Raw genomic sequence first — 27,966 nt, 5'->3', positions numbered from 1 at the left:
TCATGTTCCATGCATAGGTCAGGGTCTTAGGGAGTGATTCATTCTAGCAGAACTCCCTGGATTTTAAGGCAGATGTTCCATTTATTAATTGACAAAGGAGGCATATTTCTCCCCTGGTAACCCAAAGATTTAGGTCATTTTCCCAGAGACTCCATTTCCACTGTGAGGGTTCTTGGAAAACTAAGCAGAGGATGAGGAAAAGTCTGTGAACAAGCTTGCTGGTCTCTCCCTGTCCTACAAAAGAGCATACCTCTTCTGTAACCAGAAGGCCCTTTTGATTAGTCAAGGCTGGACAGACTGAGATTGGGGGTGTGTGTGTGTGTGTGTGTGTGTGTGTGTTTGTGTGTGTCTTGAGACAGGGTCTCACTCTGTCACCCAGGCTGGAGTGCAGTGGTGAGATCAGAGCTCACTGCAGCTTCCACTTCCTGGGCTCAAGCGATCCTCCTATTTCATCCTCCAGAGTAGCTGGGACTATACGAATGTTTTACCGCACCCAGTTCATTTTCTAATTTTTTGTAGAGATGAGGTTTCACTGTGTTGCTCAGGCTGGTCTTGAACTCCTGGCCTCACGGAATCCTTCTGTCTTAGTCTCCCAGTGGGCTGGGATTATAGGTATGAGCCACCTCACCTGACCTGCGACGATTTTTCAACAATGTAATTTCTCTTTTACAGAGCCACCTAAGCTGAAGATTCCCTTGAGAACAAGTACTGTCCTGCGGTTTCATGGCCCTTCTTCCATTTGTGGTTCTTGCGAAGTGGAATTTAAATGACATCTTATCAAGATGGATAAACCCTAGTTTCCCAGTGCTGGAATATAGAAAATGGATGGACAAGTAAATCCCACTCAGCACCCATAGTCCAGGCATGGGGACCTCAACACACCTGAGCCCCAGACATCACCTTTCATTGTGAGTAGCTCTGAGATGACACTTCTGCTGTTCCCAATTCCAGCATTAATTGGATTAGATAGTTATTTTATGAAGAATTTTCATATGCCACAATCCTGACCATATCTTCAAGTGAACAGAAAAATTCTATTAAAAAGTCAACCTTCTGTCTCACTCTGTTGCCCAGACTGGAGTGCAGTGGTGCAATTATGGCTCACTGCAGCCTCAACCTCCTGGGCTCAAGCAATCCTCCTGCCTCAGCCTCACAAGTAGCTGGGACTACAGGTGCTTGTCACCACACCTCACTAATTTTCCCATTTGTGTTATATGTGGATTCCACAGGACTGACTTCGAAAACTTGAGTATGCGTGGATTTTGGTATACACAGAAATGGGAGAGCTGGAACTAATCCCCCCATATACCAAGGGACAAATTGTATCTGTTTCTACAATTATACAGTAGGAGACATTATGTTCCATGACAATGGTAATTTTTAATGACAGTTTTTAATTGAGTGAAATTACCATAAAAATAATAATAGTAGCAGCTAATATTTACTGAGCTGTTACTAGGTGCCTATAAATAGCATAGATTTTTAAATTCTCCATAATTCTTCCTTATTTCACTTAACCACTCTATCTTAAATTACTCATGCTTGCCTCAGTAGCACACATACTTAAGTTGGAACAATAGAGAGATTGGCATGGCCTCTGTGAAAGAATGACATGCAAATTTGTGAAGCATTCCATATTTTTTTAAAAAAAGAGAAAAAAATTACTCCCAGATTTTCACTGTGTTTGTGCATATGACCTTTTGTTTAGGTTGAATTATATCCAAAGATGAAATTTCCAGAAGTGAGATTACTGTGAGTCACAGGGCATGAGCATTCTTATTACCCTTGATGTAAATTGCAAAGCTTTCAGGCATGGTGGCTGTCAGCCTGTAATTCCAGCACTTTGGGAGGCTGAGGTGGGAGGATTGCTTGAGGCCAGGAGTTGGAGGAGGCAGTATAATGAGTCACTGTCTGTATGATTTAAAAAAAATTTCCAAGCTTTATGCTGGAAGGCTTATATACATTTTAAACACCACTAATACTACAAGAAAATGGCCATTTCACTGCACCTTCGCCCACACAGGTATTATAATTTAACAAGTTATTTTCTGTGTGATAAATGAAAGACCTCATATTATTACTTTGTCACCCATTCTTTTTTCTTTTTGAGGCGCAGTCTCGCTCTGTCGACCAGGCTGGAGTGCAGTGGTGTGATCTTGGCTCACTGCAACCTGTGCCTCCCAGGTTCAAGCGATTCTCCTGCCTCAGCCTTCTGAGTAGCTGGGATTACAGGCACATGCCACCATGCCCGGCTAATTTTTGTATTTTTAGTAGAAACGTGGTTTCACCATGTTGATCAGGCTGGTCTCGAACTCCTGACCTCGTGATCTACCCGCCTCGGCCTCCCAGAGTGCTTGATTACAGCTGTGAGCCATGTGCCCAGCCTATTTGTCACATATTTTATCTTTCCTTATGTTAGCTTATTAGCTTTATTTCTTTATTGTCCTTTTTTTTTTTTTTTGAGATGAAGTCTCGCTCTGTCTCCTAGGCTTCAGTGTAGTGGCACAGTCTCAACTCACTGCAGCCTTGACCTCCTAGGCTCAGGTGATCCTTCCACCTCAGTAGTTGGGACTGTAGGCACATGCCACTATGCCTGGCCAATTATTTTTATTTTTTTATTTTTACTAGAGACGAGGTCTTGCTTTGTTTCTTAGGCTGGTCTGGAACTCCTGGCCTCAAGCAATCCCCCCACCACCCCCTCCCAAAGTACTGGTATTATAAGCATGAGCCACCATGCCTGGGGTATCTGTGTCTTTTCCATTTATTTATTGAGTTACTTTGTCTTTTACTAATTCAATGATCTGTTTAATCTTTTATTAAATTATAAAAATAATAAATACTTTTAAATAAGTGAAAAATGTCCTTCACTCTTTAGACCCATAATCTTATCTCAGGAAATAATTGCAATTGAGAAAATGGTCCATATCCTTCAAGATACATACATGGTGATTGAACATCACTTCATATTTTCATATTTCGTGGACATTTGTGCCAATACCTATTGATCTATCTTAATCCTTTTCATGGTTGCATAATATTTTACTATATGGATGTATCACAATTTACCAGTACCAGTCAACTGCTGGAGGCATTTAGGCTCCTTCTGATATTTGCTTTGAACTCTTTATATAATTAAAAATTAACCCCCTCAGCCAGGTGTGGCAGCTCACACCTGTAATCCCAGCATTTTGGAAGGCTGAGGTGAGAGAACTGCCTGAGTGTAGGAGATCACCACCAACCTGGTCAACATAGTGACACTTTGTCTCTACTAAAAATTAAAAAAAAAAAAAGAGCTACATGTTGCAGTGCACACCTGTAGTCCCAGCTACTGGGGAGGCTAAGACTGGAGGATCACTTGAGTCTAGAGGGTTGAGGCTGCAGTAAGCTATGATCACACCATTGCACTTTAGCTTTGCTAAGAGCAAGACCGCATTTCTTAAACAAAATAAAAATTAGATGGGAATATTGCTCAAGCCCTGGAGGTTGAGGCTGCAGTTAACTGTGATTGCACCACTGCAGTCCAGCCTAGGCGATAGAGCAAGACTCTTTCTCTAAAAATAAAATAAAATAAAAATTAACCTTCTATCATATTTCCCAGTAACACCTTCCCTCCTACATTTCTCCTAGAAGCCCTTAAATTTTGTTTTTCACATGTCATTTAAAACTTTTAAGTGCTGATGTCTGTGTCATCCCTCTTTTTTTTTTTTTTTTTTTTTTTTTTTTAATGTCTTTTTTTCACTTCTAGCTGGACCTACCATGAAAGACTTCTGAATCCAGGAAGAGAAACTGACTGGGCAACATGTTATTCAGGTACAAAAAGACTTCGACTGTAACTCAAAAATGATCAAATAATAGTGCATGCATCAAGTGCAATGGGAAGCTCTTCTGGAGAGGGAGAGAAGCTTCCAGTTAAGGTGACATTGAAGCCAAGTCCTGTAAGATAAGGAAGAGTTGTATGAGAGTGGGGAGGGAAGGGGGAGGTGGAGGGATGGGGATTGGGCTGGGATGGGATGCAGTGAGCTGCCCAGGCAGGGAAACCAGCACTATACAGACCTGAACAATGAAGATGGCACATTTTGTTCAGGGAATGGTGAATTAAGTGTGGCAGAAATGCTTTGTAGAGACAGTAATTTGCTTGTATGGAATTTTGCGCAAGAGACCTCATTACAGTTTCTAATTTTTTGATGTTATCATGCATCACTGCCCTTGTCAGATAGTATCGTGATCACAATAACATCAAGCATAATATTTCATTGATTCTCACAAAAACAGGTGGGTGCCACAGTTATCCCCATTATATGCACAAAATGATGAAGACTTGGGGTTAATGAGCTATTTGCCCAAGCTCACCTGAATATTAAGACTGAGTCAAATGTTAGTCTGGTCTGACTTTAATGCTTGCCTTGTTCATGAGCACCATGCATTGCCTCTCCTGTGCAGTTAAGCAGGTAGACAGGTGAGAGAAGATCCCGTGTGATATCGGGCGAAATTCACCCCTGATATTTCATGTAGGTTCTTTTCTATTTTCCCTGAGTGTCGGCCGGTCTGAGAAATAAAGGGAAAGAGTACAAAAGAGAGAAATTTTAAAGCTGGGTGTCCAGGGGAGACATCACATGCCGGCAGGTTCCGTGATGCCCCCCAAGCTGCAAAACCAACAAGTTTTTATTAGTGATTTTCAAAAGGGGAGGGAGTGTACGAATAGGGTGTGGGTCACAGAGATCACATGCTTCACAAGGTAATAACATATCACAAGGCAGATGGAGGCAGGGCAAGATCACAGGACCACAGGACTGGGGCGAAATTAAAATTGCTAATGAAGTTTCGGGCACGCATTGTCATTGATAACATCTTATCAGGAGAAAGGGTTTGAGAGCAGACAACCCATCTGACCAAAATTTATTAGGCGGGAATTTCCTTGTCCTGATAAGCCTGGGAGCGCCACGCGAGCCCAGGGCTTATTTCATCCCTTATCGACGACTGTAAAAGACAGCCGTCCCCAAAGCGGCCATTTCAGAGGCCTCCCCTTAGGGATGCATTCTCTTTCTCAGGGATGTTCTTTGCTGAGAAAAAGAATTCAGCAATATTTCTCCTATTTGCTTTTGAAAGAAGAGAAATATGGCTCTGTTCCACCCGGCCCACAGGCAGCCAGAGTTTAAGGTTATCTCCCTTGTTCCCTGAAATTGCTGTTATCCTGTTCTTTTTTCAAGGTGCCCAGGTTTCATATTGTTTAAACAACTTGTGCAGTTAACGCAATTATCACAGGGTCCTGCGGGGACATTCATCCTCAGCTTATGAAGATGACTGGATTAAGAGATTAAAGTAAAGACAGGCATAGGAAGTCACAAGGGTATTGATTGGGGAAGTGATAAGTGTCCATGAAATCTTCACAATTTATGTTCAGCGATTGCAGTAAAGACAGGCCTAAGAAATTATAGAAGTATTAATTTGGGGAACTAATAAATGTCCATGAAATCTTCACAATTTATGTTCTTCTGCCATGGCTTCAGCCGGTCCCTCCGTTTGGGGTCCCTGACTTCCCGCAACACGTTTCTCTCTACTCACAGACTTCTGCCCAAATGTGTGTGCAGAGTTTCTACACCAGTTCTCCAACTCTCTGGATACCAACCGCGTATCCCACAATTCCATTCTGACACTACCTAGAGTTAGCGCAGAACCCACAGGTTAGGGGCTCAGTCCCACAAGACCACCCTCACTTCAGATGCCAGTTGCAAGTCCTAGGTTGTCACCTGTATTTTGACCAACCAGTTAGAAATCAGGGTTTCCCATGACCCTCTTCTTGAGTTTAATTATTTACTAGAACAACTCACAGAACTTAGAAAAACAGGTTTTTTTCTTTTCTTTTTAAGAGACAGGGCCTCGCTCTGTTGTCCAGGCTGGTGTGCAGTGGTGCAATCATAGCTCATTGAAGCCTCAACCTCCAGGGCTCAAGTGATTCTCCTGCTGCAGCCTCTCAAGTAGCTGGAATTACAGGGTTCCCACAACCACATTTGGCTAATTTCTTTTATTTTTTGTATAGATGGGGTCTTCTTATGTTGCCCAGGCTGGTCTCAAATTCCTAGGCTCAAGTGATTCCGCCCACCTCTGCCTCCCAAAGTGCTGGGATTACGGGCATGAGCCAGCGCATCTGGCTACCTTATTTTTCTATTACTGGCTCAATGTAATGGCTCCATCTCAGGAACAGCCAATGAAAGAGATGCACAGGACAGGGTAAGTGGGGAGGGGCACAGAGCTTCCATGCCCTCTGTTGGGCACACTACCCTCCCAGGACCTCCTTGTGTTTAGCAACACAGAAGCCCTCCAAACCCTGCTGTTTGGGTTTTTATGGAGGCATGATTGATAAAATCATTGGCCATTGGTAGTTAAGTCAATCTCCAGTTCCTTTTGCCTCCTGGAGTTCAGCAGGTGAGGCTGAAAGTTCCAAGCCTCAAAAAATGTGGTTGGGGCCAGGTGCGGTGGCTCACTCCTGTAATCCTTGCAGTTTGGAAGGCTGAGGCACATGGACCACTTGAGGTCAGGAGTTTGAGACCAGCCTGACCAACATGGTGAAACCCCGTTTCTACTAAAAATAACAACAATTAGCTAGGCATTGTGGCACATCCCTATAATTCCAGCTACTCGGGAGGCTGAGGCAGGAGAATTGCTTGAACCCGGGAGGTGGAGGTTGTAGTGAGCTGAGATTGTGCCATTGCACTGCAGCCTGGGCTACAAGAGCCAAACTCCGTTTAAAAAAAAAAAAATGTGGTTGCTTTCTCTGGCAGCTAGCCCTCCTCCTGAAGCAGTCTAGGAGCTTGCAGCCACCCTGTTAGCTCAACAGCATCCCACATGCATTCTTACCATGCTGCAGATCTGAAAGACCTTAGAGGCCCTTGTCTCAGGAACCTGGGACTAAGACTAAATATCAAAACAGAAAATGCTCCTATTACCTCTGTCACGAACGGCTTTATAAGAGCTTTGGAAGCTGTATGCCAGGAACCAGGGGCAGAGACCAAATGTATATTTCTTTTCTTATATTGGAGACAGAGTCTCACTCTGCCACTGAGGCTGGAGTGCAGTGATGTGATCATAGCTCACTGCAGCCTTGACCTCCTAGGCTAAAGCAATCCTCCCACCTTAGCCTCTCCAGTAGCTGGAACTACAGGCATGCATCACCATGTCCAGCTGATTTTAATTTTAATTTTGTAAAGGCAGGGTCTTCCTATTTTCCCCAGGCTGATCTCTAACTCTTGGCCTCAAGCAATTCTTCCTCTTTGGCCTCCCAAAATGTTGGGATTACAGATGGGAGCCCCCATACCCACCAATCACAAGGATCTTTATAAGAGAAGGAGGTAGGAGAGTCAGAATTAGAGAAAGTGATGTGGTAATGGAAGAAGAGGTCAGAGAGGGAGATTTGAAGATGCTGCACTTCTGGCCTTGAATATGGAGTCACGAGGTAAGTCAAGGAATGGGGGTGGCTTCTAGAAGCTGGAAAAGGCAAAGGAGCACATTCTGTCTAGAGCCTCCCCCAGAAGGAATGCAGCCCCTCTGACACCTTGACTTTAGCCTTAATAGACCTAGTTGGGCTTCTGGCCCCCAGAACTGTAAGATGGTAGATTTGTGGTGTTTGATGCCACTAAATGTAGGGTACTTTGTTGTAGCAACAACACAAAATGAACATGAAGCTGGGACCTCATGTTACAGTTGCTCACGCCTGTAATCCCAGAACTTTAGGAGGCTGAGGTGGGAGGATCGCTTAAGCCCAGGAGCTTAAGACCAGCCTGGGCAACATAATGAGACCTCATGTCTAAAAAAAATTTTTTTAAAAGGCCAGACGCAGTGGCTCACGCCTGTAATCCCAGCACTTTGGGAGGCCGAGGAGGGTGGATCATGAGGTCAGAAGTTCAAGACCAGCCTAGCCAAGATGGTGAAACCCCATCTCTACTAAAAATACAAACATTAGCCAGGTGTGGTGGTGGGTGCCTGTAATCCCAGCTACTCGGGAGGCAGAGAATCACTTGAACCCAAAAGGCAGACATTGCAGTGAGCCAAGATCGCACCCTTACACTTCAGCCTGGGCGACCGAGACTCCGTCTCAAAAAAAAAAAAAAAAAAAAAGCCATGTGTTGTGGCATGCAGCTGTAGTCTCAGTTCCTAGGGTGGCTGAGGCGGGAGGATTGTTTAAGCCTGGGAGGTTGAAGTTGCTGTGAGCTGTGATTGCACCAGTGTACTCCAGCCTGGGCGATAAAGCAAGACCTTGTTTCAAAAAGAAAGAAAGAAATGAGCATGGTGGGAATGGGGACAGATGGCAGTGTTAAGTAGAGTGGTCAGGGTTGGCCTCATAAGTGAATATTGAGCAAAAGTTTGAAGCAGATGATGGAGCTGGCCAAGGTGCTGAGGGAAGAGCATTGTAGGCTGAGTCAACAGGATAAAGGCATTAGGAGGAAACTCTCTGGTGTGTCTGAGGCTCTGGAAGGAGGCCAGTGGAGCAAAGAGATAGAGGGAGCGAAGTCAGCGAGGAGGCCAGGGAGTTGCTGGGCTGGGATCGGTACAGATCGTGTAAGCCCTGGGATGCTATTGCTGGGGCTTTGGCTTTTACTCTGACTAAAATGGGAACCACCGAGGGCTTCTGAGCAGAGAGGCGACGTGATCTGTCTCCTGATTTAAAAGCACGACCTGGCTGCCAAGTTGAGAAAGACTATGGGAAGATTTGGGTAGAAGCATGGGGGCCAAGCTGTGGCAACATCCCGGTGGGAGATGATAGTGATCCTGACCGGGTTCACGGTGGTGGTGAGAGATGGTCAGAGCCTGGATACATGTTGAAGTCAGTCAGTAGGATTTCCTGACAGACTGGATGTGAGCTGTGAGAGAAGGCAGTGGTCAAGGTTGAGTTTGATTCTGATTGAATTATTAAGTAATTTTAAAAAACACTACTGCCTTTCCCAATCCTACCAAGTAAAGGATGCTAGATAAAAGAAATCTCAGGTCAGGCCAGGTGCAGTGGCTCACACCTATAGTTCCAACAGTTTGAGAGGCAGAGATGGGAGTATGTTTTAAGGCCATGAGTTTGAGAGCAGCCTGGGCAACACAGCGAGACCTCCTCTCTACAAAAATAAAAAAAATAAATTTAATAAAATAAAATAAATATAGCCAGGCATGATGGTATGTACCTATGGCCCCAGTTACTCATGTGGCTGAGATGGGCAGATCTCTTGATTCTAGGAGTTTGAGGCCAGCTTGGGCAACATAGCAAGACTTCTCTCTCTACAAAAATGAAAAAAAGTGCCTGACATGGTGGTACTTGCCTGTATTCCCAGGTATGGGGACAGCTGAGGCGGGAGCATCTCTTGAGCCCAGTTGGTCAAGGTTGCAGTGAGCTATGATTATACCACTGCACTCCATCCTGGGTGACAGAGTGGGACCCTGTCTCAAAATACAAATACAAATGAAATCTCAAGTCAGACCAGTCCCTTCTAGGCTATGTAGGCCTTGTAACCACATAGCTGCATGATCGGGTTTGTGTGGCTGTGGATGAGGAGACCCCTGTCCAATTGTTGGCTATGTAATCAGTTTATTTTTCAATATAGTAATCAAATATATTTCATCATACTTGATGGTCTCAGATATGTGTGGATTTTGGAATTCCCCTTGGAACAGGTTGTAACATCTTATTGGCTCCACAACTCCATAATTTTTTTAATCTGATCAGTTTTTAATAAGATCAGAATTGATATTAGACTACTTAATCGGTTTTGTTAATGAGAAAATGAAATTGTGTTGTTTGCATTTTATCCAAGATGGGTGCCATATTGGCTAAATCTCATCAATACTTGAACAAATGCAAAATTAGAGCTTCTTTATCATGAAACACGATGTAATTCTTGAAGAAGATGCCATTTCTTTTTTTTCTTTTTTTTTAAGATAAGAGTCTTTCTCTTGTCACCCAGGCTGGAGTGCAATGGTGTGATTTTGGCTCACTGCAACCTTCACCTTCTGGGTTCAAGCAATTCTCCTGCCTCAGCCTCCCGAGTAGCTGAGATTACAGGCGCCCGCCACCATACCCAGCTAATTTTTGTATTTTTAGTAGAGATGGGGTTTCACCATGTTGGCCAGGCTCCTCTGGAGCTCCTGACCTCAGGCAATCTGCCTGCCTCAGCCTCCCAAAATTCAAGGAGTACAGATGTGAGCAACCACGCCCGGCCTCCATTTCTTTTTTGTAGTCTTTAATAAACAGCTGCTATCATTGCAGACTTGCTATTTAGGCACTTAGGAATTTTTCACTAGAAGGCATGTAAGTAAGACCATGGGCATTTGTAATGAATTTAGCATTCATTCTTTGACTACATGACTGTCCCCAGAGCTGTAACTTTATTGAATTTTTTAGAAGCCATTTAGCTAGCAACTGAGCCTAACCAGCCACTCACCGTCATTATTCAGTGCTCTTTTATTATTGTCTATTTCTCCTCCAACTTGGCTACACTCACAAAGTGATAAAAACTTGCATTTGTTTTCTTTCCTTTTCAGAGACAGCGTCTTGCTCTGTTGCTCAGGCTACAGTACAGTGACATGATCATGGTTCACTGTAGCCTCAAACTCCTGGGCTCAAGTGGTTCTCTCACTTCAGTCTCCCAAGTAGCTGGGACTAAAGACATGTGCCACCATGTCCAGCTAATTTTTTATCATAGAGACGGGATCTTGCCACGTTGCTCCGACTGGGCTCAAAACTCCTGACCTCAAGTGGTCCTCCTGCCTCAGCCTCCCAAAGTGCTGGGATTACAGGCAGGCATGACCACCTGTGCCCAGCCCCCTATTATTATTATTTTAAATAATAGCTTTATTAAAATATTCACATACCATTCACTTTATTTATTGAAATCTGCAATTCAGTAGGTTTTAGAATATTCACAGAGCTGTGCATAGATCACCACAGTCACTTTTAGAACCTTTCATTACCCTATAGAGAAATCCATACCCCTTAGCCACTACCTCCTACTCTCCCCACCTACCTTCGCCCCCAGCCTTAGGCAACCATTGATTAATTTTTTTGTCACTATAGATTTGCCTAATCTGGACAAATAGAATTGTACAATATGTGATCTTTTGTGGCTTTTTTTCCCTCTTAGCACAGTGTTTTCAAAGTTCCTTTATGTCATAGTGTGTATCAATATTTCATTCCTTCCATGGCAGTATTCCATGGTAGAGACACACTGCATTTTGTTTATCTGTTCATCAGTTGGTGGGTATTTGGGTTGTTTCCATGTATTCCATGTATTGGTCATTATGAATAATGCTGCTGTGAAGATTGTTGTACAAGTTTTTGTGTGGACATATATTTTTATTTTTCTGGGATATATGCCTAGGAGTGAAATTGTTGCATTATAGGATGACTGTACATTTAGCCTTTTGAGAAACTGCCAGACTGTTTTCTAACGTGGCTACACCAGTTGGGTGCAATGGCTCACACCTGTAATCCCAGCTACTCAGGAGGCTCAGCTAGGAGGATGGCTTGAGCCCATGAATTCAAGACCAGCCTGGGCAAGATAGTGAAACCCTGTGTTGATTTTTTAAAAATCCAATTAAAGTGACAAGAAAAGAAATACCCAAACAAAATGGTTACACGATTTTATGTTCCCACCAGTAATGTATGTGGGTTCCAATTCCTCCACATCTTCACTGACATTTTTTTTTTCTAGATAGGGGCTTGCTCTGTCTCTCAGGCCGCAGTGCAGTGATGCCATCACAGTTCACTGCAGCCTTGACCTCCCAGGCACAAGTGATTCTCTCATCTCAGCCTCCTGAGTAGCTGAAAATTACAGGTGTACGCCACCATGCCTGGCTAATTTTTATATTTTTTTGTAGTGATGGGATTTTACCATGTTGTCCAGGCTGGTCTCATACTCCTGGCCTCAAGTGATCTGCCCACCTCAGCCTCCCTAAGTTCTGGAATTACAGGCTGCCACCATGCCCAGCCTTCACCAACATTTGCCATTATCTGTTTTTTTTTTCTTCCTTTATACCTTAAAGCAGTATAAGAACAAGTGTCTTCAATGATAGGAAACAGTATAATCCCAGGGCATTGGGAGGCTAAGACAGGAAGATGTCTTGATGCCAGGAGTTTTTTTTGTTGTTGTTGTTTTTGTTTTTGTTATTGTTGTTGTTGTTGTTTTTGACAGAGTCTAGCTCTGTCACCCAGGGTGGAGTGCAGTGATGGGGTCCACTGCAACCTCCACCTCCCAGGTTCAGGTGATTCTCCTGCCTCAGCCTCCCGAGTAGGTGAGACTACAGGTACACGCCACTACTGCCCAGCTGATTTTTGTATTTTTGATAGAGTCAGAGTTTCACCATGTTGGCCAGGCTGGTCTCGAACTCCAGGCTTCAGGTGATTTGCCTGCCTTAGCTTCCCAAAGTGCTGGGATTACAAGCATGAGCCACCATGCCCAGCCTGATGCCAGGAGTTTTAGACTAGCCTGGGCAACCTAGCAAGACCTTGTCTCTACAGAATATTTAAAAATTAGCCAAATGTGGTGGTGCCTGTGTATAGTCTCTCTCCCTCTCTCTTTTTTTTTTCTTTCTAACTTTTTGTGACATGGTCTGGCTCTGTCACCCAGGCTGAAGTGCAGTGGTGTGATCATGGCTCACTGCAGCCTGAAACTCCTGGGATCAAGTGATCAATCCTCCCACCTCATCCTACCAAGTAGTAGGGACCACAGGTGTATGCCACCCAGGTCTTGCTATGTTGCCCAGGCTGGTCTTGAGCTCCTGGCCTCAAGCAATCCTCTCACCTTGGCCCCCCACAGTGCAAGGATTACAGGTATGAGCCACCATGCCTGGCCCCTACCCTGCCTATTGAGAACCAAAAGAAGAATCCAAATTCTCCTTAGCTCAACTCGAGCCATTTCCTGATTGCTTCATCAGCAAGGAGCTGGTTATTGGGCTGTCCAGGCCTCCCAAGCAGCACAGAAATGAGGTGAAGGAGTTTTCCTGCTCCTCCACTCTGTAAGGAGTTGGAGGGTGATGTTTACTCGTTTGCAGAGAGAGATGCCTTGTAGGCACCTTAGGATGGAGAGGACCCTGATTCCAATGTCCTTTTTTTCTTTAGAAACAGGACCTTGCCCTGTCACTCAGGATGGAGTTCAGTGGTCCTATCATGGCTCATTATAGCCTCAAACTCCCAGGCTCAAGCAATCCTACCATGTCAGCCTTCCCAGTAGCTGGGACTACAGGTAAGCATCGTGACACTCAGTGAATTTTGTTTTTATTTTGTTGTAGAGATGGGACCTCAGTATGTTGCCACGGCTGACCTTGAACTCCTGCACTCAAGGGATTTTCCTGCCCTGGCCTCCCAAAGTATTGGTATTACAGGCATGAGCCGTTGTGCCCACCGTTTCTGGTTCTTAACCTTCTGCCTTCCTCTTCCAGTTTTAAAGAATGCTTGTAATTACATGGGCTCTCCTAGATACTCCAGGATAATCTTGTTTTAAGGTCAACTGATGAGCAACATTAATTTTATCTGCACTCTTAATTCCCCCTTCCTATGTAACTGTGCTGTGTAACATAGGACATGAGCAATTGGTGGCAGTGGGGGTTCTTACTTTGGCCACCACAGTAACTATTTTATGCCAGGTACTCAGCTAAGCACTGGTGAATTAAGCATGAATAACACACACTCCCTAATCTCCATCCATTCATGGGAGGAGCACCTCACCTGCCATGCTCCTGAGAATCTCGGGAGTCAAAGAAGTCTTCTGTGAGGAGGTGATGCCAAAGCGGACAAGTGACAGAGGAGTCGAAGCTAGCTAGGAAGAGAGTAGAGGTTTAAGGGGAAGTATATTATAAGCAGAGGATATTACCCACTTCAGAGACTCCCAGAGGAGAAAGAGTGTGCGTTCAAGGGGCAGATGAGGCTCAGTTGGACTCCATAGCAGATGAAATGGAGAGGGGCAAGCAGTGAGGCTGCCTTGCAAGGCAGGGCAGAGCAGGGGCTGTTAAGGAGTTTGGACTTAATCCCTGAGGCAAGGAGAAGTGATGTAAATGGGGGAGTAACATGATGAGATTCATGGATTAGAGACATGGCTCAGGCTGCTGTAGAGAAGGCACCAGGGAGAGCAGATGGCTCAATGGGTGTGCAGGAGACCTCTCCCTGAGTTTAGGGAGAGGTTTTTAAAACAGAAGAAGTTTGAGTAATTTAAATGATGATGGGAAGGAGCTAAAAGTGGGGGATAGGTTAAAGATACAGGAAAGTGGGAGGAAGAACTGACAAGTGAGGTTCCAGAGAGGGCAGGAGAAGAGGAGATTCCCATAGGGGGATTAACACTTTCTTTTCTTTTTTCTTTCTAAGACAGGGTCTCACTCTGTCGCCCAGGCTGGAGTGCAGTGGCACAATCTTGGCTCACTGTAGTGTAGACTTCCCAGGCTCAAGGGATTTCTCCCACCCCAGACTCCCAAGTAGCTGGAACTACGGGTGTGCACCACCACCACACCTGGCTAATGTTTCTTTTTTTGGTAGACACAGAGTCTCACTATTTAGCACTGATTGGTCTCCAACTCCTGGCCTCAAGCGATCCTCCTGCCTAGGCTTCCCAAATTGCTGGGATTACAGGCATGAGCCACAATGCCTGGCCTCTGCTAGTTCCGTATTCTCTAGAGTTGTCTTTACTTTGTGCTAGTGTGTCCCTCATTGTGCTGATCCTCTGTAAAAATTAATACCTTTTTTTTTTTTCGAGATGGAGTTTCACTCTTGTTGCCCAGGCTGGAGTGCAATGGCGCTATCTCGGCTCAGCGCAACCTCCACCTGCCGGGTTCAAGCGATTCTCCTGCCTCAGCCTCCCGAGTAGTTGGGATTACAGGCATGTGCCACCATGCCCAGCTAATTTTGTATTTTTAGTAGAGATGGGGTTTCTCCATGCTGGTCAGACTGGTCTCAAACTCCTGATCTCAGGTGATCTGTCTGCCTTGGCCTCCCAAAGTGCTGGGATTACAGGTATGAGCCATTGTGCCTGGCCAAAATTAATACTTTTTATATTAAATTTACATATATATACGTTTTTTCTTTTTGATACCGGGTCTCACACTGTCACCCAGGCTGGAGTACAGTGGCACAACCTCTGCTCACTGCAGCCTCCACCTGCCAGGCTCAAGCAATTCTCCTGCCTCAGCCTCCCGAGTAGCTGGGATTACAGGTAAGTGCCACCACACCCAGCTGATTTTTGTGTTTTTTGTAGAGACGAGGTTTCGCCATATTTCCCAGACTGTTCTCAAACTCCTGAGCTCAAAGCAGTCCACCCACCTTGGCCTCCCAAAGTGCTGGGATTACAGATGTGAGCCATCTTGCTCATTCTAGTTTAAACTTTTGAGTGGTTTGTGTCTCCTGATTGGACTCCTACAAATACAGAATTGATGCTAGGAAGGGTACCAGGAGATAGACGCACACAGATGGGATTTGGGAATAGGTTTGGTTATCCAAGGAGCAGTGCTGAGCTCCTTGCTAATGGGATATGGGATGCTGGTGATTTCCAGGAAGTGACCGCACAATGACTCAAGCTACCACATACTGTTGATTGTGAAATGCCAGTTGAAGCATATGTCCTGCGAGCTTAGGGGTGCTACAAGTTGACCACTGCAGCAGTAAAGATGACTCTGAAGAATGGCGTGGGATGGATCCTTTCGAATGCATTTGAGCAGCGGTCTCCAACCACAGGGCCACAGAGCTGGAGGTGAGCAGCAGGCGAGTGAAGGGAAACTTCATCTGTATTTCTAGCCCCTCCCATCGCTTGCATGACCACCTGAGCTCCATGTCCTGTCAGATCAGCAGCAGCATTAGATTCTCATAGGAGCACAAACTCTGTTGTGAAGTGTGCATGCGAGGGATCTAGGTTGTGTATTCCTTATGAGAATCTAATGCCTGATATTCTGTTACTGTCTCCCATCACCCCAGATGGACAGTCTAATTGCAGGAAAACAAGCTCAGAGATCCCACTGAGTCTACGTTATAGTGAGTTGTAGAATCATTTCATTATATATTACTGTGTAGTAATAATAGAAATAAAGTGCACAATATATGTAATGCACTTGAATCATCCTGAAATTATTCCCTCACTCCCAGTCTGTGGAAAAATTGTCTTCCACACATTCACTCTGTTTTTTGGTAGAGGCAGGGTCTTAATATATTGCCCAGGCTGATCTCAAACTCCTGGCCTCAAGTAATATACCTTTCTCAGCCTCCCAAAGTGCTGAGATTACAGGCATAAGCCACCACCCTCAACCAAGACTTTCTTAAACCAAATAAAAATTAAGTGAGATTACTTGAGCCCAGGTGGTCAAGGCTGCAGTGAGCCTGATTGCACCACTGCACTCCAGCCTAGGTGACAGAATGAGACTGTCTCAAAAAATAAAATAAAATACAAATTAACCCTTTATGACATTCCCAGTAACTTTCCCTCCTAAGTGTTCCCCACAAGTCTTTGAATTCTGTTTAATTTTCACATAACATTTAAGACATTTAAGAACTTATGTCTGTCTGTGTCATCCCTTTATGTCAAAAGATGTCTTTTTGTCACTTCCAGCTGGATCTACCATGAAAGACTTCTGAATCCAGGAAGAGAGACTGACTGGGCAACATGTTATTCAGGAACAAAAAGATTTGGACTGTAACTTAAAAATGATCAAATAATAGTGCATGCATCAAGTGCAATGGGAAGCTCTTCTGGAGAGTGAGAGAAGCTTCCAGTTAAGGTGACATTGAAGCCAAGTCCTGAAAGATGAGGAAGAGTTGTATGAGAGTGGGGAGGGAAGGGGGAGGTGGAGGGATGGTGAATGGGCCGAGATGGGATAGCGCAAACTGCCCGGGAAGGGAAACCAGCACTGTACGGACCTGAACAACGAAGATGGCATATTTTGTTCAGGGAATGGTGAATTAAGTGTGGCAGGAATGCTTTGTAGACACAGTAATTTGCTTGTATGGAATTTTGCCTGAGAGACCTCATTGCAGTTTCTGATTTTTTGATGTCATCATCCATCACTGTCCTTGTCAAATAGTTTGGAATAGGTATAATGATCACAGTAACCCCAAGCATAATATTTCATTAATTCTCACAGAATCACAGGTAGGTGCCACAGTTATCCCCATTTTATGAACGGAGTGATGAAGCCTTAGGAATAATGAATGATTTGCCCAAGCTCACCTGGATATTAAGATTGAGTCAAATGTTGGGTTTGGTCTGACTTTAATGTTTGCTTTGTTCATGAGCACCACATATTGCCTCTCCTATGCAGTTAAGCAGGTAGGTGACAGAAAAGCCCATGTTTGTCTCTACTCACACACTTCTGACTGAATGTATGTATGGAGTTTCTACACCAAATTCTTCAGTGCTCTGGATATTAACTGGGTATCCCATGACTTTATTCTGACACTACCTGGAGTTAGCACAGACCCCACAAGTTAGGGGCTCAGTCCCACGAGGCCATCCTCACTTCAGATGCCAATGGCAAGTCCTAAGTTGTCACCGTACTTTTGACCAACCTGTTACCAATCGGGGGTTCCCATAACTGTCTTCTTGGGTTTAATAATTTGCTAGAACAGTTTACGGAACTCAGAAAAACAGTTTATTTTCTTTTTTTCTGAGAGAGAGGGTCTTATTTTGTTGCCCAGGCTGGTGTGCAATGGTGCAGTCATAGCTCATTGCAGCCTTGATTGTCTGGGCTCCAGTGGTTCTCCCACCTCAGCCTCCCTAGTAGCTGAGTGTACATGCCTGCACCACCACATCTGGCTAGTTTCTTTTATTTTTTGTATAGATGGGGTCTTGTTGTGTTGGCCAGGCTGGCCACAAATTCCTGGTCTCAAGTGATCCTCCCACCTCAGCCTCTGAAAGTGCTGGGATTACAGATGTGAGCCACCACATCTGGCCAGTTCATCTCCTATTACTGGTTCATTGTGAAGGATACATCTCAGAAACAGTCGATGAAAGAGACGTGCATGCTGGATGCAGTGGCTCATGCCTGTAATCTCAGCACTTTGGGAGGCCAAGGTGGGAGGATCGCTTAAACTCAAGAGTTTGAGACCAGCCTGGGCAACATGGTGAAAACCTGTCTCTATAAAAAATTAAAAAAAAAAAATAACTGGTGTGGTGGTGTGCACCTAGAGTTCCAACTACTAGGGAAGCTGAGATGAGAGGATACCTTGAGCTGGGGACTGGGGAGGCTTAGGTTACAGTAAGCTGAGGTTGTGCCACTGCACTCTAGCTTGGACAAAAGAGCCTGATCCTGTCTCAAAAAAAAGAAAGATACCCAGGGCAAGTTAAGTTCGGAGGGGCACAGAGCTCCCATGCCCTCTGTTGAACATGCGACCCTCCCAGCATCTCCTGTGTCCAGCAACCCTGAAAGCTCTGCAAACCCCTTTCAGGGTGTTTATGGAGGCTTTATTATGCAAGCATGATTGATAAAACCTTTGGCTGTTGGTGATTAAGTCAGTCTCCAGCCCCTCCTCCTCCTGGAGTTCAGTGCATGAGGCTGAAAGTTCCAAGCCTCTTATAATGTGGTTGCATGGTAATCAGCCCTCCTCTTGAAGAAATTTAGGAGCTTGCAGTCACGCAGTCATCTCAACAACATCCCCAAATGCATTCTTACCATGCTGGAGATCCCAAAGTTATTAGAGGCTCTTGTGTTAGAAACCTGGGACCAAGACCAAATATTAAAACAAAAGATGTTCCTGTCACATCTGCCACTGAGGTCTTTGTAAGAGCTTTAGAAGCTCTGTGCCACGAACCAGGGACAGAGATTAAATATGTATTTCTTTTCTTTTTTTTGAGACAGAATCTCCTGTGTCATCCAGGCTGGAGTGCAGTGATGTGATCATAGCTCACTATAGCTTTGGCCTCCTGAGATCAAGCAATCCTCCCATCTCAACCTCCCAAGTAGCTAGGACTACACATGCATGTCACCCATGCCCAGCTCATTTTTGTAGAGTCAGAGTTTCGCCATGGTGGCCAGGTTGGCCATGTTGGCCAGATGGGGTCTTCTTTTGTTGCCCAGGCTGGCCACAAATTCGTGGGCTCAAGTGGTCCTCCCACCTCGTCCTTGTAGAGATGAGATTTAGTTATGTCGTCCAGGCTGATCTCAAACTCCTGGGCTAAATCGATTGTCTCACCTCAGCCTCTCAAGTAGCTGGGACTACAGGCGCATACCACCATGTCGGGCTAATATTTATTTTTATTTTTTTCTAGGGGGGGTTCTCACTGTGTTTTTCATGCTAGTTTCAAACTTCGGGCCTCAAGTGTTCCTCCTGCCTTGACCTCCCAAAGTGTTGGGATTCTGGGTGGGAGCCACCATGCCCAGCAATCACAAGGGTCTTTATAAAAGAAAGAGAGTAGGAGATTCAGAATTGGAGCAGGAGATGTGGTGATGAAAGCAGAGGTAAGAGAGGGATCTGATTTGAAGATGCTTCACCTCTGGCTTTGAAGATGGAGTCAGGGGCCATGATCCAAGGAATGGGGGTGGCTTCTAGAAGCTGGAAAAGCCAAGGGAACATATTAGAGTCTCCAGAAGGAATGCAGCCCTGCTGACACCTTGACTTTAGCCTTAATAGACCTAGTTTGGGTGTCTGGCCCCTAGAACTGTAAGATGGTAGATTTGTGGTGTTTTAAGCCACTAAGTGTAGGAAACTGCAAACTATGTTGCAGCAGCAAGAAGAAATGAACATGAAGCCAGGCATGATGGCTCATGCTGGTAATCCCAGCACTTTAGGAATTTAGGCAGGAGGATCACTTGAGGCCAGGAGTTCAAGACCAGTCTGGGCAACATAGTAAGACCTTGTCTCTACAAAAAATGAAAAAATTGGCCAGGCGTGGTGGCTCACGCCTGTAATTCCAGCACTTTGGGAGGCCGAAGCGGGCAGATTACCTGAGGTTAGGAGTTCGAGACCAGCCTGGCCAACATTGTGAAACCCCGGCTCTACTAAAAATACAAAAATTAGCTGGGCATGGTGGCACGCACCTGTAATCCCAGCTACTTGGAAGGCTGAGGCAGGAGAATCACTTGAATCTGGGAGGTGGAGGTTGCAGTGAGCCGGGATCGCACCGTTACACTACAGCCTGGGCAAGAAGAGTGAAACTCTGTCTCAAAATAAAATAAAATAAAATACTAAAAAATTTAGCCAGGCATGGTGGCATGAACCTGGAGTCCCAGCTACTCGGGAGGCTGAGGTGGGAGGATCGCTTGAGCCTGGAAATTTGAGGTTGCAGTGAGCTGTGATTTCGCCACTGCACTCCAGCCTTGGTGACGGTGAGATCTTGAAAAAAAGAAAGAAGAAAGTAAAGAAAGAAGAAATGAGCATGGTGGGCATGGGGACAGATGGCAATGTTAAGTAGAATGGTCAGGGGTGGCCTCCTAAGTGAAAATTGAGTAAAGACTTGAAGGAGGGGAAGGAGGTGGCCAAGGTGCTGAGGGAAGAGGATTGTAGGCAGAAACAATAGAATAAAGTGTCTGAGGTGTGTCTGAGGCTCTGGAAGGAGGCCCATGGAGCAGACGGAGAGAGGGAGAGAATTAGGGGAGGGAGCCAGGGAGTTGCTGGGTGGGGATCAGTACAGATCACATAAGCCCTGGGAGGTTATTGCTGGGGCTTTGGCTTTTACTCTGACTCAGATGGAAACTGCGGGAGGGTTCTGAGCAGAGAGGCGACATGATCTGTCACCTGATTTAAAAGCATTCTCTGGCTGCTGAGTTGAGAAAGACCGTGGGAAGATGTGATAGAAGCATGGGGGCCAAGCTTTGGCAACATCCAGGCGGGAGATGATGGTGGTCCTGACCAGGGTCGTGGTGGTGTTGAGAGATGGTCAGAGGGGAGAAGTAGGGGAGGAGGCCAGGGAGTTGCTGGGTGGGGATCTTTAGTACATGTCGAAGACAGTCAACAGGATTTCCTGACAGACTGGATATGGGGTGTGAGAGAAGGCAGGGGTCAAGGTTGAGTTTGATTGTTACTGAAATTATTAAGTAATTTTAAAAAACACTACTGCCTTTCCCAATCCTACCAAGTATGGGATGCTAGATTAAAGAAATCTCTTCAGGCTCATTGCAGTGGCTCATGCCTGTAGTCCCAGCTGTTTGGTAAGCAGAGGTGCGAGTATCTTTTAAGGGCAGGTGTTCAAGACCAGCCTGGACAACACAGCAAGATCTGCTCTTTACAAAAATATTTTTCAAAATTAAATAAATGTAGCTAGGCATGGTGATGTGTACTTGTAGTTTCAGCTACTCAGGAGGCTGAAGTGGGCAGATCTCTTGAGGTCAGGAGTTTGAGGCCAGCTTGGGCAACATAGCAAGATCCCTCACTCTACAAAAAAATTAAAAAAATAACCAGGCATGGTGACACTCAACTGTACTACCAGCTACTGGGGAGCTGAGGCAGGAAGATGGCTTGAGCCCAGGAGGTCGAGGCTGCAGTGAGCTGTAAGTGCACAGCTGCACTCCAGTTTGGGTGACAGAGCAGGACCTGTCTCACAATACAAATAAAAATACAAGTAAAATAATATCTCAAGTCAGAGCCTTTTGGCTCTGCAGCCCTTGCAACCCCTCAGCCGTGCAGTGGGGTTTGCATCCCTGGGAATGAGGAGACCCCTGCCCGGTGTTGTTGCCTGATTAATCAGTGTTTTAAAACATATATTAATCGGGGTGGGCGCGGTGGCTCACACCTGTAATCCCAGCAATTAGGGAGACCCAGGCGGGTGGATCACCTGAGGTCAAGAGTTCAAGACCAGCCTTGCCAACGTGGCGAAACTCCTTCTCTACTAAGAAAATACAATAATTAGCTGGACATGGTAGTGGGCACCTGTAATCCCAGCTACTTGGGAGGCTGAGGTAGGAGAATCGCTTGAACCTGCGGGGTGGAGGTTGCAATGTGCTGAGATTGCGCCACTTCACTCCAGCCTGGGCAAAAGAACAAGACTTTGTCTCAAAGAAAAAAAAAAAGTAATATATCAACATGTAATGGTTTTATTATTAATATGTAATGAATATTAAATATTTTAAAAATCTTGTATTATATCAACATGTAATGGCTTTAATATGTGATGAATAATATTTAAAAAATTGTGTCTTATTTTCTAGTTTTAATATAATTATCTGCAGAAAGAAATAGTCTTAGAGATCTTCAATAAAGTTAAAAAATGTAAAGGGATGTTAGACCCCAAAAGATTGAGAATTTCTAGTTTAGAAATATTCAGAGTAAGCCACATACAACTTGCTACTTGAACTATTTTTTTTCTTTGCTTTTTATTTTAGGAGATGGGGTCTCACCCTGTCACCCAGGCTTGAGTACAGTAGTGCTATCACAGCTCACTGCAGCCTTGAACTCCTGGGCTAAGGATCCTCCTACCTGAGCCTCCTGAGTAGCTAGGACTGTAGGTATACATGACGATACTTGGCTAATTTTTAAATTGTTTTGTAGACACGGGGTCTCACTTTGTTGGCCAGGCTGGTGTCAAACTAATGGCCTCAAGTGACCCTTCCACCCCTGCCTCCCATCCTCGAGGCATGTGCCACCACAAGGAGCACTTGTTCAATTTTCTAAAAAAAAAATTTCTAAAGTAAGGCTGTGGGATGATGGCAGGAAGATCAAAGAAAAACAGAAGAATAAGTTAAAATGACTTATGCACACATATTCTTTTGACAGCAAGAAGAACATTTAGTATATACATTCCTTACAAACAAACAAAAGGCAGATAAACAATGTTGTATAGGAACTTCAACACACACTGTACAATATTCCCACTTTGCTGACATAAGTTATGGAAATTTCATGGTTTACTTGAGTGTCGCTACCAGTATTTTGCTTCTCTGATGATTTTTATCAACTTCCTCATCTGTTAACTTCTCTCCAAGGTATGTCATGTCATGACATACTGCCTCTGCACGAACGTGGCCAGTGTCTTTCTATTAAACATGTAGAATGCTTTCCTAATTTCTCTTTTTACTGTCTGTCTTTGTGTTCTGCATTTTCCTTACTTTTATTGTCAGAAACTCCAGAAAGTCAATCGTACTAATTTATCACGATTTGCTTTATTAATTTATACTTTGCTTATATGGAATTTTGCCCAGCAGACCTCATTACAATTTCTAACCTGTTTTATTTTGTTTTTTTTCTGAGACAGGGTCTCCCTCTGTTGTCCAAGGCTGGAGTGTAGTAGTGCTATCACAGCTGACTGCAGCCTCAACCTTCCAGGCTGAAGCGATCCTCCCATCTCAACCTCCCACGTGGCTGAGACTACAGGTGCTTGCCACTATGCCCAACTAATATTTGGAATTTTTGTATACGTGGATTCCAGAGGGGTGACAGCGAAACGTGAGTAAGCATGGATTTTGTTATATGCAGAGATGGGGGGCTGGAACTAATTCTGTATACTGAGGGACGACTGTATATGTTTTTACAATTACGCTGTAGGATACATACTGTTGCATAGCCTTGAAAATAATAATTTTTAATTGAGTGGAATAATAATAATATTGATAAAAGTGGCAGCTGGCCAGGTGTGGTGGCTCACACTGGTAATCGCAACACTTTGGGAGGCTGAGGCAGGAGGATGGCTTGAGGCCAAGAGTTTGCGATAGGCCTTGGAAACAAAGGGAGTCACCATCCCTACAGAAAAATACATGAATTAGCCTAGTGTGGTGGCATGTTCCTGTAGTCCCAGCTACTTGGGAGGCTGAGGTGGGAGGATCACTTGAGCCCAGGGAGGCTGAGACTGCAGTGAGTCATGATCAGGCCTCTGCACTCCAGCCTGGGTGACAGAGTGAGACCCTGTCTCAAAACAACAAAAAAGTAGCAGCTAACATCAACTGACCTTTTACCAGGTGCCTATTGATACCATAGTTTAATTTCTTATAACTGTTTCTTATTTCACTTACCAACTCTGTCTTCAGTTACTCCCAGATTTTTACTGTGTGTGTACAGATGACCTTTTGTTTAGATTGAATTGTCTCCCCAGAAGTAAGATTACTGTGAGTCATGGTGAATGGACATTCTCATTACCCTTGATGTAAATTGACAGGGTTTTGGGTGCCTCCCAGCTATAATCTTAGCACTTTGGGAGGCTAAGAGAGGAGGATTGCTTGAGGCCAAGAGTTGGAGGAGGCAGTATGGCAGTATGGTGAGACCCTGTCTCCATTATTTTAAAAAATGGACAGGCTTTACCCTGGAAGGCTTATACACAATTTAAACACCCCTCATAGTATAAGAAAGTGCCCATTTCACTGCACCTTTGCCAGCACAGGGTATTATAATTTAGTAAGTCATTTTTTGTTTGATTATTTTACATAGACAAAAGAACTCATATTACTTTACTTGTCACATTTCAACATCTTTCCTCAGCTTATTAGCTCTATTTCTTTTCTGTCTGTAAATGGTTGTTGTTGTTTTGTTCTTTGAGACAGGGTCTTGCTCTGTCACCAGGCTGGACTGTAGTGGCATAATCATGCCTCACTGCAGCCTTGACCTCCCAGGCTCAAACTTCCGCATTCCGAGTAGCTGGGACTACAAGTGTGCACCACCACCCCCAGCTAACTTTTTTCTTCTTTTGGATAGAGACAGGGTCTCACTGTGTTGTCCAGACCGGTCTCTAGCTCCTGGCCTTAAGCAATCCTCCTGCATTAGCTTCTCAAATTGCTGGAATTTCAGGCATGAGCCACCATGCCTGGCCTGGGCTAGTCCTGTATTCTCTAGAGTTCTCTTTACTTTGTGCTAGCCAATCTCTCATTATGCTGTTCACCTGTTATAATGAATAATTCTCTGTATTAAATTTTACCACTTTAAACTTTTGAGTGGTTTATGCTTCCTGATTGGACTCTGACTAATATGTTAGGAAGGGTCCCAGGAGATAAACCCACACAGATGGGATTTGGGCATAGGTTTGGTTTCCCAGGGGGCAGTGCTGAGCTCTTTGCCAGTGGGAAATGGGATGCTGGTGATTTCCAGTAGGTGACCTCACAGTGACTCAAGCTACCACTTACTGTTGATTGTGACGAAATGCCAGCTGAGGCACATGCCTTGGGAGCTAAGTGGTTGCTGCACTTGACCACTGTGAAGACTGGTGTGGGAAGGGTCGTTTCGGATGCACTTGAGCAGGGGTCCCCAACCCCTGAGCCATGGAGCCGCAAGGAGCCACACAGCAGGAGGTGAGTGGTGTCGAGTGAGGGAGTGAGGGAAGCTTCGTCTGTATTTACAGCCACTCCCCTTTGCTCACATTCCCGCCTGAGCTCCACCTTCTCAGATCAGCAGCAGCATTAGATTCTCATAGGAGAACGCACCCTGTTGTGAACTGTGCATGTGAGGGATCTAGGTTGCGCTGTCCTTATGAGAATCTAATACCTATTGATCTGTCACTTTCTCCCATCACGCTCAGGTGGGACCATCCAGTTGCAGGAAAACAAGCTTAACACGCCCACTGATTCTACATTATGGTGAGTTCTATAATTATTTTATTATATATTACAGTGTAATAATGGAAATAAAGTGCCTAATAAATGCAAATGTGCTTACATCTTTTGGCCCAGCTCCTACCTCCTGGCAGCCTCTCCAGGCCCAGAACTTTCTCCAGTCAGCCTCTACAGACCAAGCTCATGACTCACAATGGCCTATTTAGGCCCATACCCTACGTCACGGCAGTCTCCGCAGATGAGGCTACTGCCTCACAACAGCCTCCACAGGCACAGCTCCATCGTTACAATGGCCTCTTTAGACCCAGCTCCTGCCTCCCAGCCTTCTCTCCAGGCCCTGAACTTTCTCAAGTCGACCTCACCAGGCCCAGCTCATGCTTCTTTGCAGCCTCTCCAGGCCCAGCTCCTGCATCTTGGTGGCCCCTCCAGGCCCAGCCTCTGCCTCCCGTCGGCCTCTACAGTCCCAACATCTGTCTCACAGCAGATTCTTCAGGCCCAGCATCTGCCTCACTGTGGACCCCCCAAGCCAAGCTCCCAACCTTTCAGCAGCTTCTACACACCCAGCTCCTGCCACCCAGTGGCTTCTTTAGGCCAAGCTCATGCTTCACAAGGGCCTTTCCAGGCCCAACTTTTGTCTCATGGCAACCTTCCCTGGCCAGATTCCTGCCTGTCTCCCAGCAGCCTAGACAGGCCCAGGTCTTGCCTCACACTGGCCTCTCTACATCCAGCTTATGCCTCACGGTGGCCTCTCCAGGCCCAACTCCTGTCCCAGGACGTCATCTCCGGGCCCAAAACTTACTCAAGTCAGACTCTCTAGTCCCAACTGCTGCCTCCTGGTGGCCTATGAAGGCCCAAAATCTCCTCAAGTTGGCCTCTCCAGGCCCAGCTCCTGCCTCCTGTCAGCGTCTAGAGGCCCAACCTCTGCCTCATGGGGGCTTCTCCAGGCCCACCTCTTCCTCTTGGCTGGGTCTACAGGCACAACTGCTGCCTCACAACAGCCTTTTTTGGCCCAGTTCCTGTCCAGCTCATGGCGGCCAATGTAGGCCCAAAACTTCCTCAAGTCAAACTCTCCAGGCCCACCTTCTGCTTCCCGGTGGCATGAACCGGCCCAGCTTTGACTTGAGAACAGCCTCTGCAGGCCCTGCTCTTGCCTCCCAGGGGCTTTTTCCAGGCCCAGCTCTTGCCTCATGGCAGCTGCCCCAGGCCGAATTTCTGCCTGCCTGCCAGCAGCCTCAACAGGCACAGCTCCTCCCTCACAGTGGCCCATTTAGGCCCAACTCATGACTGTCAGGCCATTTCCAGGCCTAGTGCCTGCCTCGTGGCTGACTCTTGAAGCCCAAAACTTCCTCAAATCAGCCTTTTGCCCAACTTCTGTCTACTGTCGGACTCTACAGGCCAGCCTCTGCCTCACAGTGGACCCTCCAGACCCAGATGGTGTCTCACTGTGGCATCCTCAGGTGAAGCTCCTGCCTTTCGGCAGCCTCTCCAGGCCCAGCTCCTCCTGCCTCCCAGTGGCCTCTTTCGGCCCAGCCCAGCTCATGCCTCCCGGCGGCCTTCCCAAGCCCCGCTTTTGACTTTCCACCGAAAGTCCCAGCCTCCTGCCTCCCGAAGGCCTGCACAGGCCCAGCCTCTGCCTCACAGCGGACTCTCCTCGCCCAGCTAGCTGTCGCCTCACTGCGGCCTCCCGAGTCCAAAGTTCCTGCCTCTCGGCCGCTTCGGCAGGCCCAGCTCCCGCCTGCCAGTGGCCTCTTCAGGCCCATGGGGCTCATTCCTCACAACGGCCTTTCCAGGCCCAGTTTTTCCCTTCCGGCGGCCTCTCCGGGCCCAGAACCTCCTCAAGTCGGCCTCTCCAGACCCACTTGCATCCTCCGGGCGTCCTCTCCGGGCCCAGCTCTTCTTCCTGGTTGCGTTTCCAGGCCCGACTCCTGCCTCTCAACAACCTCTTTGGACTCAGTGCCTACCCATCTCCTGGCGGCATTGGTCGGCCCACAGCTTCCTCAAGCCAAGCTCCCGAGGCCCAGGTCAGGCCTCACGGTGGCCTCTCCAGGATGAGCTGCTGCCCTCCGATGGCATCTCCAGGCCCCAAATGGTCTCCGGTCGGTGGGCTCCTCCATGCCACTGCTGCATGCCACTGCTTGGGCCTCCATCCCAGCGACTGCTGCAGGCCCAAGTTGTCCTGAAGTCGGCCTCTCCCGGCCCTGCCTCCCAGCAAGTAAGCAAGCTCTTTTGGCTCAACTGCCCAGCTCCCAACCGCCTTTCTAGGCCCCGAACTTTCTGCAGCCAAGCTCTGAGGGCCCACCTCCTGCCTCCCGGTGGCCTGTACAGGCCCAGCACTGGTTGGAGAACAGCCTCTGCAGGCCCCGCCCTTGCCTCCCAGGTGCCTCTCCAGGCCCAGCTCTTGCCCCCACGGCGGCCTCCTGGGGCCAAGTCCCTGCCTGCCTCCCAGCAGCCCGCGTGCGGCCCAGCTCCTCCCTCACGGTGGCCTGTTGATGCCCAACTCATGCCTCTGGCACCCTGCCCAGAGGCGTGAGCCCCTTGCCTCACACCGGCTCCTCC

The 27,966-nt window shown here is 46.3% G+C and overlaps 2 long non-coding RNA genes and 2 pseudogenes across 2 annotated transcripts in view; 3 read left to right on the top strand and 1 right to left on the bottom strand.

The window, feature by feature from the left end:
• Window positions 1-26,484, top strand: part of LINC01347 (long intergenic non-protein coding RNA 1347) — a 45,431-nt gene extending 18,947 nt beyond the window's left edge. Inside the window, exons 9-18 of the long non-coding RNA NR_029401.1 lie at window positions 673-908; window positions 3,746-3,810; window positions 13,094-13,217; window positions 15,076-15,173; window positions 15,511-15,707; window positions 16,557-16,725; window positions 22,261-22,379; window positions 23,130-23,320; window positions 25,377-25,434; window positions 25,528-26,484. This is a non-coding gene — a long non-coding RNA (long intergenic non-protein coding RNA 1347). The remainder of the gene's footprint in view (window positions 1-672; window positions 909-3,745; window positions 3,811-13,093; window positions 13,218-15,075; window positions 15,174-15,510; window positions 15,708-16,556; window positions 16,726-22,260; window positions 22,380-23,129; window positions 23,321-25,376; window positions 25,435-25,527) is intronic.
• LOC124904568 (uncharacterized) lies at window positions 666-908 on the bottom strand. The gene is made up of 2 exons (XR_007066972.1): window positions 793-908; window positions 666-713 (listed from the first exon to the last, which is right to left on the bottom strand). It is a non-coding gene; the product is annotated as an uncharacterized LOC124904568 (long non-coding RNA).
• On the top strand, window positions 1,539-1,642 carry RNU6-747P (RNA, U6 small nuclear 747, pseudogene; annotated as a pseudogene).
• A 265-nt stretch (window positions 26,485-26,749) lies between the features above and the next one.
• On the top strand, window positions 26,750-27,965 carry LOC102724236 (nascent polypeptide-associated complex subunit alpha, muscle-specific form-like; annotated as a pseudogene).
• Window position 27,966: the final 1 nt, after the last annotated feature.

Source organism: Homo sapiens, chromosome 1, assembly GCF_000001405.40.
Source record: "Homo sapiens chromosome 1, GRCh38.p14 Primary Assembly".
Lineage (NCBI taxonomy): Eukaryota > Metazoa > Chordata > Mammalia > Primates > Hominidae > Homo > Homo sapiens.
Note: the sequence above shows the minus strand (reverse complement) of the source record. Positions and strands in the feature narration are given on the sequence as shown.